Source organism: Homo sapiens, chromosome 5 (assembly GCF_000001405.40).
Source record: "Homo sapiens chromosome 5, GRCh38.p14 Primary Assembly".
Lineage (NCBI taxonomy): Eukaryota > Metazoa > Chordata > Mammalia > Primates > Hominidae > Homo > Homo sapiens.
The window spans coordinates 168,446,962-168,462,435 of record NC_000005.10 but is presented as its reverse complement, the minus strand read 5'-3'; the positions used below and the strand labels follow the sequence as shown (position 1 = coordinate 168,462,435).

The following is a 15,474-nucleotide window of genomic DNA, read 5'->3' as shown; positions in this document are numbered from 1 at the left end:
CACCAAGCTCCCCAGGTAACTTTTGGTGCTCCAGAGACTGCAGTACAAGCCAGCTACAGAAGAGGGGGTTGGGGTGGGGGACCCAGAGTGGGCAGTTGGTTGTCCCTGTCACCTGAGGCCATGTCCACTTTCTCCCACACCCGCACACTCTGCCTTCCCTGTGTAGCCTCCCCTGTGTTGCTGTCTCTCTCCTCTCTCCAGTTCCCCCTCAGACTTGTTAAGGTGTAGGATGTTAGGCAAAGGACCAGATTCTGGCTGTCAGCAGGCAGTGCAGGAAAGGTGGGGGGCCTGCCCCTACTGGGGGCTATTGGCACTATCTTTTCCATCCATGTTCTCTTTTGCTTTCTCTCTCCTTTTTTCTTTCTTTCTTTTTTTTTTTTGAGATGTAGTTTCACTCTTGTTGCCCAGCTGGAGTGCAACGGCGCGATCTCGGCTCACTGCAACCTCCGCCTCCCAGGTTCAAGCAATTCTCCTGCCTCAGCCTCCCGAGTAGCTGGGATTACAGGCATGCACCACCACGCCCAGCTAATTTTGTATTTTTAGTAGAGACGGAGTTTCTCAATGCTGAGGCTGGTCTCGAACTCCTGACCTCAGGTGATCCACCTGCCTCGGCCTCCCAAAGTGCTGGGATTACAGGCGTGAGCCACCACGCCTGGCCCCTTTTTTCTTTCTGACATTCTGGCTCCTGGTTTCTTCTGGTTCTGCAAACTCATTAGACAGAACTGCTTTAAAGTTGTGTTGAAAGCCCAAAGTCGGGAGGGCCCCCTGCATCTCCTGCAGCCCTTAATGGTCAAAGACAAATCAGGGGTCGCTCCTTTGCCTACCCCCACCCCATCCGGATGGCTCAGCTCAGTCTCCACTAGGAAAGGCGAGACTTCCGCAAGGCAAGTCTGCAGCCTCTTCCCTGTGGGCTTCCCGCTGGTCTGAGGGAAGCCCATTTGCACTTCCCTGCTTCAGGCTGGTGCTCAGAGGCACCCAGCTTCTCTGTCACCAGAACCTGGACGACAGACACACTGAGCAGAGTCTTGCATGAGGAAGACTCCTGTCAGATGACGCGCTCTAACTGATGACTGTTGGGTTGGTTAATTCTTCTTTTTTTTTCCTGAGACAGAGTCTCACTCTGTTGCCCAGGCTGGGGTGCAGTGGCGCAATCTCAGCTCACTGCAACCTCTGCCTCCTGCGTTTAAGCGATTCTCCTGCCTCAGCCTCCCAAGTACAGCCTGGGACTACAGGTACACGCTACCACGCCCGGCTAATTTTTGTATTTTTAGTAGAGATGGGGTTTCACTGTGTTGGCCAGGCTGGTCTCAAACCCCAGACCTCAGGTGATCCTCCTACCTCGGCCTCCCAGAGTGCTGGGATTACAGGTGTGAGCCACGGGGCCCGGCTGGGTTGGTTAGTTCTTACTGACTTTGATTTCTATCTAGGAAGGCAAGGCCAAGTGTACACACTCCTCATCTAACCTATTTGTCATAATAAGACAAATACATTTACCCTTCAGCACCTTCCCCTGTGGCTACACAGGCCTCATAGTTCACAAACATCTGTTCGCAAATGCTTGAGAGAGCAACATTTTTCTAGCCAGTGGCTGAGGAGAAATGGCCAGACATTAGGAGATGTGTGTGCAGGACACAGGGCTTGGGGCAACGAGGGAGGAGCAGGCAGAAAAATAGCTTTGAGGTGACTCTCTTACCCGCTTCATCCGGACGCTGCGTCGCTCCAGGGAGTTTCGAACAAAAGGTGGCTTTTTGGACAGAGTGGAGCTGTCACTATCACTCCGATTCAGCTGCAAGAGAAAAGTCATGGAATCTTAAACATGGTCAGAGTGCATTCTGGAAGGTGCACTGAAGCCTAGAGGGAGGTCAGGTTCCTCCACTCGGCACAGTCCTTCCTCTCCTTCTGCAAACACCCAGGTTTCATTCTGACCTTTCTTTTCTTTATAAGTGAACATTCGTTAAGCATGTACTATGCATGATGCATACTGCTTCATCTCCATGCTAGTATCTGCACGATGCTAAATGCCACGAATATCCCATTGAACCTTTCCAACAACCCCATGTGATAGGAGCAAATCCATTTTCACAAGTGAGGTGACAGAAGCTTAGGGGTTGCAGAACTGGCCCAAGATTGGCGAGCTGGTCAGCCGCACAGCAGGGCTGGACACTGGCCAGCGTGACTTCAGAGTATACTGCCCTCTTAACCTTCTACACAAAGGGCCATTTGCATCAACTCTTCCCTGGTGTCTATGGAGCCTGCCTTTACTGACTCAAATGGAGCCACTGTCAAGATGGATATTTAAAAAAGAAAAAGACAGCTTAAAGGCAAAGCCTCAGGGACCATATCCTTAGAGATGATGGGGCAGATCGTAACTCTCCCCGTGGGCATCCGCTCGATCACTGAGTTATCTATACTCCCCCCAGAGGGCTAGTATTCCCCATCTAAGACCAGAAATCAGGCCTGTAGTCAGGATGGGAAGCTTCTATATTGAGAATGTGTCCCACCCCTAAGGAGCGCAAGGGAGAGTGGGTAGGATGACAGCACCCCCTGGGAGGTGGGAGCAGAGTGGGGATTTCTTTCTCGAGTCCTATTTCCAAAATCGGTGGGGTTGTGACAGGCCGATGCTATTGTGCTTGTGTGTCTAGCAGCTGTCAGTTCACTGTTGCAGGTCTCCTGAGAAGCTGTTTCTGTGGTTATTGATAATTAATTGTGATAATGATATTAATAGTCCTGCTAAGCTGACAAACACAGCAACTCCAGGGACAGACTGATGAAATAGCCACTGGGCTAGGCAGGGCCTCAACAGAACCAGACGCTGAATAGTAAAAATAATGACTGCCACATGGATAGAGCACCTGCTACGTGCCAGGTGCTTCAGTGACAGTTTCATTTAATCCTCAGACAATCCTAACATGATGGGAACTGAGGCCCAGAGAGATTAAGAAGCTTGTATAGTTGAACAGCTGGGGAGCATCAAAACCAGAGTTCAAGGCCCAGTCTGTTTGGTTCCAAGGCCACCAGCTCTCCTGGCTCCAGCCTGTAAGTAGGGCTCAGGGATGAAACTAATGTGCAGGTGGAAGGGTGTGCCATCTTGACAACTGGGGTAGATTCATATAAACTGGTTGCATGTGGTACCAGAAGGGGGCTTTCTCTTTCTTTCTTTCTTTTTTTTTTTTTTTTTTTTGAGACAGGGTTTCACTCCTTTCGCCCAGGCTGGAGTGCAATGGTGCTATCTCGTCTCACTGCAGCCTTGACTTCTCGGGCTCAAGTGATTCTCCCGCCTCAGCCTCTCAAGTAGCTGGGACTAAAGGCACGTGCCACTGTGCCCGGATAATTTTTGCATTTTTTGTAGAGACAAGGTTTCACCATGTTGCCCAGGCTGGTCTCAAACTCCTGGGCTCAAGTGATCCTCCCATCTCAGCCTCTCAATGTCCTGGGATTACAGATGTGAGCCACTGTGCCCAGCCTTTTATTCTACATTGTTTTAATCCAGTGGTGGCACTTGAAGGATATGTGTCCTACCGACCAGAAATGGGTATCAGGATAATTGATCCTTAAGTTGTAGTTGTTTACATGTTAAAGACTATGTTATATAAAAGAAAGACAGAAGCTACATTAAGTCCTTGAATTTAGCTTTCTCTAATATAAAGACACTTTAATGCATTTAATCTCAGACATGGTAGAGAATGTTGTCACCTTATTATTACTTGCATTTAATAGCTAGAGAAACTGATGCAGAGAGCAGTGAAATCATTTAGAATCACAGGAAGCTAGTTCAGGAATGAGAATTTAGGATGGGCTGTGTCTATTTGGTCAAAGTCAATCAACCCACAAATGTGGTAGCACTTCAGATGAATACATGGGGGCTGAGGAGAGCTGTAGGAAGGGTAATTCATTGTCCCTATCCATGGACTTCGAGTTCAGTGGGGGAACTCAAGACAGCAAAACTAACCAAGTGACATAGGTGAAGATGAAGATCGAACAAGGGAGGCACCCAGCAGAGGACGCCTTTTGTGCAGAGGCCAGTGGAAGGGGCTACTCACGATCAGACCCGAGGAGGCCAGAGGAAGGCCCTCAGGAGGTGGCTCTGAGCAACAGAGAGGCTGCAGGCTTTGGAGTTGGACTCCCAGCTTTGTACTTAGCAGCTGTGTGACCTAGAGCACAGTGCTTTGAGTTTTTGAGTCTTAGCTTCTGTGTCTATAAAATGGGGTTCACACAACTCACCTTACAGGGCTGTAAGATTAGATTACACAGAAAATATATTTTTTGGCTGTGGGGGCTGGAAGTGTTGCTGATTAGCATTTGAAATCCCATCCTGTGGGTGAGAAAACCCCACCTTATGACTTGGTGGGAAACAAAGCCAACCTCCCACTGATGAAGCTGAAAGTAGCAGAACCTTGCTTCTACTGCCTCCCTTGCAGCTAGAGGCAGGCACAGGACTAGCCTGTCAATTGGATGCAAATGCTCCAGGCCTTGAATCACAACCTGGTGACTTGCACCCAAGTCTATTACTATTGTCTCTTGAATTGAAACAGGCCACTCTTTCTCTCCTTCATTCTACAAATGTGCCAAGTTTGTTTTTATCTCAGGGAAAAGCCATTAATGGTAAGTAGTGGCAGTGGCAGCAGTGACCAGAGCTTCCATGCCAGCCATGGCAGGAACCTGGTGGAGGCATAAATATTGAATGCCAGGGGCAGCAACGGGGCCGGTGGGGGCCAGGTTTTGTGGCAGCATCGGTGAAGGTGTCACCCAATTGGCTTTGTGGTGTGATTTTGGCTGTGGTCTGGCCTTCCTTGCTCCTGCCTGATTTCTGAGGCTGGTTCCATAGCCTTATGATGAGTGTGTGAGCTCCTCACTTTCCTTTCCCCCAAATTTTCCTGCATATACTGCTCACTGTCCATTTCCATTGCTTGCAATGAAAAACCCTGACCGGTACAGGCAGGAAGTGGAATGCTATCAGTTACAGACTGAGACACGCGGAGCTGGCTGTGGAGGGGGCAGGGTGGAGGCACAGCACAGCCCCAGCATGTCTCTGTTGGGAATTTGGTAATGCTCATCTTGTGGGTGCAAAACAAAGGGTTAAATTGTTCCCTGCTATATCTCAGCAGACAGCCTCCATGCCTGCAGAGTTTTAGAGGAAATGATAGGAAAATTTTCACAATGTTGTACTCTTGGCTACATCTTGTAGCCTTCAGTAAGTTTTATACAAAAAGACCTAAGCTTGAGCTGAAGTGGGCCAACTAGAAAGCAAAGAAGGAAAAATATATGACTTTGCTAAAAAAAAAAAAAAAAAAAAAATGCCCTTTCTACCTGTGGAGTGTGATCTCCGTTGGCTGGGAATCTCTTAATTTGTGATTTTGCAGGCTTAGAAACGGTATAAATAATAAAATATGGGAAGTGGAAGCATAGTGCTTGGTGTGTTACAGATGCTTAATAAGTGGGACAGGTGCTTTCTGTTATTTGAAGATGCGAATCCTGGAAAAGGGTCACTTAAAAAACACTGGGGAAAAATGCGTGAGGCTTGAGTCTATAGGTGGAAAAGATAAATATTTCACCAAAGTTCTTCTATCTTATATCTCCCATTTAACAAAATTACAACCACATTCTATCCTGATGAAAAAGAACGAATGAAACACTAATTTTTTTTGGTGGGATTTTTCTGATGAGTGACATTCTTCTCTTTGTGTTTGATTTCTACTGCACGTTCATAATGGCAGTAATTTTACAAAAAAAAAAAAAATTGGCGGAGCATTATCCATTGTCTTAAGGGCTTTTCTAAATCATTCAAATTATTCATGTTTTCTTTTTGAGATAGAGTTTTGCTCTTGTCACCCAGGCTGGAGTGCGATGGTACGATCTCAGCTTACTGCAACCTCTGCCCCCCGGGTTCAAGGATTCTCCTGCCTCAGCCTCCCAAGTAGCTGGGATTACAAGCATGTGCCACCATGCACTAATTTTTTGCATTTTTAGCAGAGACAGGATTTCACCATGTGGGCCAGGCTGGTCTCGAACTCCTGGCCTCAAGTGATTTGCCCACCTCAGCCTCCCAAAGTGCTGGGATTACAGGCATGAGCCACTGCGCCCAGGTTTATTTTATTTTTAACTGCCCTTTAATTTAAAAATAATTTTTTTTTTAAGATAGGGTCTTACTCTGTTGCCCAGGCTGGAGTGCTGTGGCGCAATCATGGCTCACTGCAGCGTTGGACTCCTGGGCTCAAGCAATTCTCCTGTCTCAGCTTCCCCACTAGCTGGGACTACAAGTGCATGCCACCATGCCCAGCTAATTTTTAACTTTTTCTTAGGCGGAGACAGGGTCTCACTATGTTGAACAGGCTGGTTTTAAACTCCTGGCCTCAAGTGACCCTCCTGCCTCAGCCTCCCGAAGTGTTGGGCTTACAGGCATGAGACACTGCATCTGGCCGCCTTTTTAAAAAGTTTTAAATGTTAGCAGCAGGTTCAATTAAAAAATAATACAAACTGGTAGCAACAGGTTCAATTAAAAAAAACAAAACAAACTGGTACCAGATCTGCTGTAATTTTGCAGCCTCAGGCTGTACACTAGAATTGCCCTGAAGGTGGGAAGGAAATGCCTGTGTATCTAGGGGCCACTGACGGGTCCCCCTCTGATCTCAGCAAGTGGTTGCAGGAGGGCAGGGCAGAGTGTGAACAAGGAGGAAGTGAGTTGTTTGGAATGATAATAACATTGACCAAGTACTAATTACAAAGCCTTTTCTATTGCTTGTCTAAAACAATCCTATGAAGTAGGCCCGTGAACTCCACCTGAGGAAACTGAGGCTCTGAGGTGTTAACATACCCGAAGTCACCCAATAACATGAGAGTAATGGGATTTGCACCCAGCCCTGTGTGAAGCTCTCGGCTACCCTGAGGGGAGCAGAAGAGGGCCGCACGCTCACTTACCCGGCACACGTACTGGCTCTGGGGTCCTGGGGAGAAGGTCTTAGAGCGGATGATGGTGCTCCCTCGAAGAAATGGCCCCTGGGACGGGGTGCCCACTCTCCGGTCCTTAGGTCGCACCACTGTGGGGGATGGGGCCGGGGTCTCCGTGTTGGTCTCTTTGTCCACCTGAGGAAGAAGTCACACCTTGAAGCCACCAGTGTCCACAGAGTCTCAGCCACCCACCAGAGACCACTCAGCTGCTCCTCTTCCCTCCTGTCACCTCACCTTTTCCCACAGACACAACCAGGGTTTCCTTGGCATTAGCCCTGCTAGATGAGCTCAGCCTGGTGCAGCCAGGACAGTACCCAAGGCTAGGTGTGCCGACCCCTACCCCTCCGTGGCACGTGTGGTTGGGGACTGGTGGGAGCACATTCAGCCCCCAAACAAACTCACATGGGCAGTAGAGCTGTCTCAAAGTTTTGAAAGTGTGATGTCCAACAACCTGGATGTCACACTCCCAAAACTTACAAACCAAGTACATTTTGAAAAACCACACCCAAGGCTTCCACAGCCCTGGCAAAGTACTACGGTTGCTTTCATCGAATTCTGAAGGCAATTGGCAAATCTTGTTTTTAAAACCAACCCATCAGGTTTTTACTGCCCGTGCACAGTAGTCATCAGGAAAACATAAACAAACAAAAACACCTACATGCAGGACCTTTGTCAGCCTAAATAGTACCTTTATATAATTTTAAGAAAGGGCACGCCCACTGGCTGGAGAAATTGCAAAATGATGCCCCCTTGGTGTGGAGGAGTTAGAACGAGGGCCCAGGTCCTACTGCACCTGCCGTGTCCAGGCACCTCTGTGCGGTACTCCAGCTGCAGCCTCGCTCAAACACGGCAGGTGCTCTAGCTCTAGGAGTCCTGGAGCCAGCTGTCTGTGGAGAGTGAATCCTGCTGTAATGTGACCCTAGTGCAGCAGGGAAGCAGGGAGCAAAGGGAGTCTGGCCTTTTTCCTGTCGCGCTGTGGGCAGACCCACATAAAGAAATATATTTTTAGAGGCTATCTGCAAGGTTGGTATTATTGTGCCCATTTTAGAGATGAGAAAATGGAAGCTTGAGAAGGATGAAGTCATCTGCCTAAGACTACACAGCCAGGGAGTATCAGAGCCAGAATTCAAACCCAAACCGTCTGACTGCAAGGCTTGAGTTATGTCCAGAGAAGTCATGGAAAATGCAGAGGGCAGAAGAAAAGAGATGGGTGAGTTGGCCTCTCCTGGTTTACTATCACCAGAATGACCCAAAGGCCACTCCATTATGAGGGCTTGTGCCCTGATGCTGGAAGCCAAGACTTAGCTCTGAGTCTTTTCTGACTGCCTCGGCACAAGGATTGAAGGTTCCTTCCCCACGACAGCCCTTCTATCCCCCCAGCCCTTCCTACCTTTAATGCTGGGTACCCATCCATATCAGGTGAGGCTTTCTCGGTGAAAACATCCTCTTCTCCCTCCTCCTCCTCCACCTCCTCCTCCTCTTCCTCGGCTACTGCCTCATTCTCACTGGTCTCCTCATACCTCCTGTGATGACAAAGCACTTTGGTTACCCACCCAGAAGCCGCTCTGCCTCTGTTCACCTGCCTTTAATACACCCAAGGTAGGGCTTCCAATCCTTTTGATGATTGAAGATATATTTTAAAAAGTTTTGGGGGGCCAGGCTCACACCTGTAATCCCAGCACTTTGGGAGGCCGAGGCAGGCAGACTGCCTGAGTTCAGGAGTTCAAGACAAGCCTGGCCAACATGGTGAAACCCCATCTCTACTAAAAATACAAAAATTAGCCAGGCATGGTGGTGCACACCTGTAGTCCCAGCTACTCGGGAGGCTGAGGCAGGAGAATTGCTTGAACCCGGGAGGTGGAGGTTGCAGTGAACCGAGGTCACGCCACTGCACTCCAGCCTGGGCAACAAGAGTGAAACTCTGTCTCAAAACAAAAAAAAAGATTGTTAATGAGGCATTTTCAGTGTATAGTTTGATGAGTTTTGGCCAATGTACTCACCTATGTAACCACCACTGTACTTGAGATGTAGAACATTCCATTCCCCACCAGAATTCTCTCCTACCTTTTCCCAGTTTAATCACCCACTAGGCAGCCATGATTAGCTGTTATTATAGATTAGATTTGACTTTTCTAGAGTTTCATGCAAATGGAATCAGACAATATATGCTGTTTTGTCTCTGACTTCTCTGTGTCTGCATAACATTTCTGAAGTTTATCCACAATGCTGTATGCATCAGCGGTTCATTCCTTTTTTTTTTTCCTTTTGAATCAGAGTCTCACTCTGTCACCCAGGCTGGAGTGCAGTGGGACCATCTTGGCTCACTGTAGCCTCCACCAGTGGGCTCAAGTGATCCTCCTGCCTCAGCCTCCTGAGTTGTTGGGACTACAGGTGTGTGCCACCACACCTGGCTAATTATCCTATTTTTTGTAGAGACAGAGTTTTGGTATGTTGCCCAGGCTGGTCTCAAACTACTGGGCTCAAGCGATCCACCCACCTTGGCCTCCCAAAGTGTTGGGATTATAGGCGTGAGCCACCGCGCCCAGACAGTTCACTCCTTTTTATCATTAATATTCCATTGGATGGCTATATTGCAACATGTTTAGATCTGTTCACCTGCCTTTAAATGCACCCAGGGTAGGGCTTCCAAACGTTGGAACGAGGCGGGTGGTTGAGGAAAAGGAGGAGGAAGATGAGGAAGAAGAGGAGGAGGAGGAGGAGGAGGAAGAGGGAGAGAAGGAGAGTTTAGTTGATGAACATTTGGATTACTTACATTTCCAAGCAAGTATGAATAAAGCTTCTTGTACATTCATGTACAAGTCTATGCATGAATATAGGTTTTCATTTCTGTTGGATATTGCTAGGGTTGCAAAACTAAAACACCACTTACTAGGTGGGTTAAACAACAGAAACTGATTTCTGGCAGTCCTGGAGGCTGGAAATCCATGCTCAAGGTGTCAGCAGGTTTGATTCACCTGAGGCCCCTTTCCCTGGCTAGCAGATGGCTGCCTTCTTGCAGCGTGCTCACACAGTCTGTCCTCTGTGCATGCGCATCCCTGGTGTCTGTGTGTCCAAATATCCTCGTATGAGGTCCCAGCCCAACTTCAATGGTCTCGTGTTAACCACCTCTTTAAAAGCCCTACCTCCAAATACAGTCACATTCTGAGGTACTAGGGGTTAGGGCTTCAATGTTTGAATTTTGGGGGGACACAAATCAGCCCCTAACAGATAATAGAATTACTGGGTCATACGGTAAGTATAAATTTACCCTTTTAAACACCAACAGGCCAGGCGTGGTAGCTCACGCCTGTAATCCCAGCACTTTGGGTGGCCAAGGTGGGCGGATCACCCCAGGTCAGGAGTTCAAGACCATCTTGGCCAATGTGGTAAAACCTTGTCTCTACTAAAAATACAAAAATTAGCCAGGCGTGGTGGTGGGCACCTGTAATCCCAGCTACTCAGGAGGCTGAGGCAGGACAATTGCTTGAACCCAAGAGGTGGAGCTTGCAGTGAGTCGAGAGAGTGCCACTGCACTACAGCCTGGGTGACAGACTGAGACTCCACCTCAAAAAAAAAAAAAAAAAAAAGACACCAACAAATGGCTTCTCCAAAGTGATTTTGCCATTTTAAGTTTCCCCTGAGCAATGTTCTAAGAGTTCTAGTTCCTCACTACACTTGGTGTTGTTTATCTTTATAGTTAGTCACTCTACTACTGGGTGTGTACTTGCATCTTGTTGGGTTTTAATTTGCATTTTCTTCTTTTTTCTTTCTTTGTTTTTAGAGACAGCATCTTGCTCTGTCGCCAAGGCTAAGGCTGGAGTGCCATGGTGTGATCATAGCTCACTGTCGCCTTGAACTCTTGGGCTCAGGTGATTGATTCTCCTGCCTCAGCCTCCCAAGTAGCTAGTACTACAGGCACGTGCCACCATGCCCGGCTAATTTAGTAAATCTTTTGCAGAGATGGGGTTTTGTTTCCCAGGCTGATCTTGAACTCCTGGCCTCAAGAAATCTTCCTGCCTCAGCTTCCCAAAGTGTGAACATTACTGGTGTAAGCCACTGAGCCTGGCCTAACTTGCATTTTCTTGTTGAGAAACTCTTCATGCATTTATGACCATCTTCCCAGGTGAAGTGTCTGTTACAATCTCCAGCCCCTTAAAAATCAGGTTTTTGGCCAGGCACAGTGACTCACGCCTATAATCCCAACAGTTTGGGAGGCCGAGGTGGGTGGATCACCTGAGGTCAGGAGTTCGAGACCAGCCTGACCAATATGATAAAACCGAGTTGCCTCTACTAAAAATACAAAAATTAGCCAGGTGTGGTGGCATGCACCTGTAATTCTAGCTACTCGGGAGGCTGAGACAGGAGAATCGCTTGAATCCGGGAGGTGGAGATTGCAGTGAGCCGAGATTGCAGTGAGCCGAGATCGCAGCCTGGGCAACAAGAGCAAAACTCTGTCTCAAAATAAATAAATAAATAAAATAAAAATAAAAATTGGGTTGTCTTATTATTGAGTTGTAAGAAATCTTAGTATATTTGCGCTATGAATCCTTTGTCTGGTATGTGGACTGCACGATTTTCTCTAAGTCTGTGGCTTGCCTTTTCATTTTCTCAGTGGTGTCTTCCGAAGATCATAAGTTTTTGATTATGATAAAGCCCAAGTTATTGATTTTTTTCTTTTATAGTTTGTACTTTTTATGTCCTAAGAAATCTTTGCCTACCTCAAAGTTGTGAATAGTTTCTTTCTTACACTTTCAGAACTTCTATAATTTCAGGTTTTATGTGTAGCTCTATAACCCATTTGAGATTAATTTTATTTTATTTTTTTGAGATGGAGTCTCGCTCTGTTGCCCAGGCTGGAGTGCAGTGGTGCGACCTCAGCTCACTGCAACCTCTGCCTCCCGGGTTCAAGCAATTCTCCCGCCTCAGCCTCCCGAGTAGCTGGGATTACAGGCACGTGCCGCCATGCCAAGCTGATTTTTGTATTTTTAATAGAGATGGTGTTTCACCATGTTGGCCAGGATGGTCTTGATCTCCTGACCTCATGATCCACCCACCTCGGCCTCCCAAAGTGCTGAAATTACAGGCGTGAGTCACCGTGCCCAGCCACAGATTAATTTTTATACATGATGTAAGTGTTCAAGTTTTTTTTTTCCATATGAATATCTAATTGTTCCAACACCATTTGCTGAAGGGACTTTTGGTGATAGTCCTTAAAACTTTCCATTTCCCTTGGACTCCAAGGTTGGAAGGATTTGGTGTGACAAATAGGCTGCATTTGTTAAGTAGTAATTTATCTCTATTCCCATCTTGACTTCTGAAAGACATACAGAACTGCCCGGCTTCTGATCAGCATGAGACAGTGTTATCATACTGAGCCAAAAGAATCCTAGCCAAAAGCAGAGAATCTGACATCCAGCTAGCTAGCTCGGCGAGAGTGTGGGGAAACATAAAATCTCCCTGAGGATTTTCCCAATGGGGAGAATGCATTTTGGATCTCTACTCGCAACTCTGCAATTAAAACCTCTTCTGTACTTAGATGAGGACTGCGGCTGTGGAGGGGCCTTGGCTCTCCTCCTTGGCCCCAGCAGCCTCTCTATCTACAAATAAAAGAGCTGTTGGCGGGTGCGGTGGCTCATGCCTGTAATCCCAGCACTTTGGGAGGCTGAGGCAGGTGGATCACCTGAGGTCGGGAGTTCGAGATCAGCCTGACCAACATGGAGAAAAACCCCATCTCTACTAAAAATACAAACGTAGCCAGGCGTGGTGGCACATGCCTGTAATCCCAGCCACTTGGCAGACTGAGACAGGAGAATCACTTGAACCCATGAGGTGGAGGTCACAGTGAGCCGAGATCGCACCATTGCACTCTAGCCTGGGCAACAAGAGTGAAACTGTCTCAAAAAAAAAAAAAAAAAAAAAAGAGCTGTTAAACATGTGAACACACAGGGAGACAGGGAGCCCCTCCACAAAGCCCTCTGTAGAAGCCACATTGACCAGTATTTATTGAGGGCTCAATAAGCTCCAGGTGCTACACCTCACAACAGTGCTCAAAGAGATGATCTCCATTTCCCAGATTCAAAAAGTGAGCGGCAGAGGCCTGAGGCCTTGTTCAATGTGGCAGGCTAGTTGTGGAGCCAGGATTGCAAAACAGGTTTGTCTAGATCCACTAAGTGCTCAACCATTACGGGAGTCTCTTCTTTTTGACTGTGAATCTGATCTCAATATTCCAAGATGAGAAAAAAAAACCACAAACCCAACTTAATTTTAATTGTAAAGAGAAAAATAATTAAAATCAACAATATCTTTTCACCTACTGGAGTGGCAAAGCGGAAAAAAATCTGGTAATATCAAGTGCTGGTGAAGGTACAGAAACAGGCATATCCCTGTGGGAAGTGAAAAGGAGAGCAGCCAATTTACATTCTGAAGGCCATTTAGCCTTATCTGTTAAAATAAAAAAATGTACATATGCTTAATTAAGTTACAGCAGTTTGATTAGATTGAGTGTCAGAGAGGCTGTAGGTTAGGGTACTCTTAATCATTGCTGGTGGGAGCATTTATTAATAAAATCTTATAGCTGGGTGCGGTGGCTCATGCCTGTAATCCCAGCACTTTGGGAGGTGGAGGTGGGCAGATCACGAGGTCAGGAGATCGAGACCATCCTGGCTAACACGGTGAAACCCCATCTCTACTAAAAAACACAAAAAATTAGCTGGGCATGGCGGCAGGTGCCTGTAGTCCCAGCTACCCAGGAGGATGAGGCATGAGAATGGCGTGAACCCAGGTGGCGGAGCTTGCAGTGAGCTGAGATCGTGCCACTGCACTCCAGCCTGGGTGACAGAACAAGACTCCGTCTCAAAAAAAAAAAAAAAAAAAATCTTATTTGAGAACTATTCTATGATGTCTATTAAAATATAAAAAACACACACCCTGCGATCCAGCAATGCCACTTCTCAGCATCTGCCCCAGACAAATACGAGTTCCCAAGGAGGCAAATACAAAGATTTTTCCCCATAGTATTGTTTGGTGTTATATTCTCCTGTATTTTCTAACACTCTTAGTTTTATTTTGCTTGTGGATCTTTTAAAAAAAAATCCAGTTTTCTGATTATATCATTTAAAGACATATAAAAACAAAATAAAAAGAGGGAGTACCAGTGACACGCCGGGTTTTGGGTGCCGAGGAAGGACTGTAAATTGGAACAGACGGACAGCCTTTTGGAGACCAGAACCCAAGACTCCAGAGATGAGCAGGCATGGCAAGGCCAGTTAACATCCCAGGACCAAGAGAGGCTTCCAGTCTTGGGGGAGGGGGCCGCAGATGGTTTGCCCCACTACAGCAGCTCTGGGATCCCCAGCCCCCTTTGTAAGACAGCGTCTGGGGGAAGTTTGAATGGCAGGGGGTGTGGAGACAGGGGCCAAAAAGGGAGAAGGGACAGAAGGCGGTTGCTAGGAGATGGCTTGAAAAGTCTCAGCACAAGCTTGGAATTTGGTGGAAACCACTGATCTTGTGCCAGGGTTTTGGGAGATAGGTCCTGGGCCTATTTCTGGCATCAGACCTTTGCCTGTGTGATCCGTAGTAGAGTGTGGCACAGCAGTGTGCCAAGCAGAAAGAGAGAGAGAGGCAGAGAAACAGAGAGGAAAGGAAAGAGAGAGGGAGATGGCCAGGGGTCAGTGGGGAGAAACAGACAGAGAGAGAGAAAGAAAGAGAGAGAAAAGGAGGGGGAGAGAGAGATTGAGACAATTTAGAGAGAACCCTAAACTAACAAAGGAACATACAAAAATTCCAGGAACCTTGCCATCTGCTTTATCACATGAAAAAAATAGTAAGAGAGAAGAGTAAAACAAGAACCAGCAAACTACAGCCAGTGGGCCCAATCCTGTCTGCTGCTTTGTTTTGGACAGTCTAAGCCATGAATGGTTTTTATATTTTAAAATGGCTGAAAAAAAAATCAAAAGGGGAATACTTGGTGAAAAGGTGCAAATTATATAAAATGCAAATTTCAGTGTCCATAAATGACGTTTCAGTGGAACACAGACAGTGTCATTGGTTTACATACTGTCTACGGCTGCTTTCACACTGCAACAGCAGAGGTGAGGGGATGCAACAGAATTCTTACGACTCACAAGGCAAAGAATATTTACCATCTGGCCCTCTCCAGAAATCATCTGCTGACCTGTGGAGTAACAGATATTACGGGAGGGCGCCGCCTGAGACTAAATATATAATTTGAGGCTCTAAGAGAATAATAATACGGAAGAGTTATTGAATGTTTCCTCCAGGTCAGGGTCTGTGTTAAGTGCTTATCATGCATAATTTTACTGAATTTTGCAAAATACCCCATGACATAGTGGCTGTTTTCTAAATCTCTATTTCACAGACGAGGAGACGGAAGTTTACAGCTGTGATATTCAGCCCAGGCTGCACATTAGAATCACCCAGGGAGCTTTTAAATCTTACTAATGCTCAGTAAGGTCTTACCGGTCAGAAACAGGATCCCAGAAGGAAGTTGGCTGAGCTAGACTCCAGATC

At 46.9% G+C, this 15,474-nt stretch overlaps 1 protein-coding gene across 18 annotated transcripts in view, besides 2 other annotated features; it reads right to left on the bottom strand.

Annotated features, from left to right (window-relative positions):
* WWC1 (WW and C2 domain containing 1) overlaps positions 1–15,474 on the bottom strand; it is a 180,659-nt gene that overhangs the window by 9,868 nt on the left and 155,317 nt on the right. For all 18 annotated transcript variants that reach the window (XM_011534485.2, XM_011534486.2, XM_011534488.2 and 15 more), the window contains 3 exons: positions 8,336–8,468; positions 6,916–7,080; positions 1,694–1,786 (listed from right to left, as the gene is read on the bottom strand). In XM_011534485.2, coding sequence (XP_011532787.1) covers positions 1,694–1,786; positions 6,916–7,080; positions 8,336–8,468 — 391 coding nt within the window. The remainder of the gene's footprint in view (positions 1–1,693; positions 1,787–6,915; positions 7,081–8,335; positions 8,469–15,474) is intronic.
* Positions 7,781–7,950: an enhancer, noted in NCBI's record as "experimental_83602 CRE fragment used in MPRA reporter constructs". NCBI's record gives its function as "activates a minimal promoter by MPRAs in K562 erythroleukemia cells, with activity observed for the non-introgressed 5:167881576 or rs954274 variant allele {active_cell/tissue: K562}" and the evidence as "EXISTENCE:reporter gene assay evidence [ECO:0000049][PMID:34662402]".
* Position 7,865: a transcriptional cis regulatory region, noted in NCBI's record as "Neanderthal adaptively introgressed variant 5:167881576 (GRCh37/hg19 assembly coordinates) or rs954274 in the experimental_83602 CRE". NCBI's record gives its function as "modulates activity of the experimental_83602 enhancer by MPRAs in K562 erythroleukemia cells {active_cell/tissue: K562}" and the evidence as "EXISTENCE:reporter gene assay evidence [ECO:0000049][PMID:34662402]".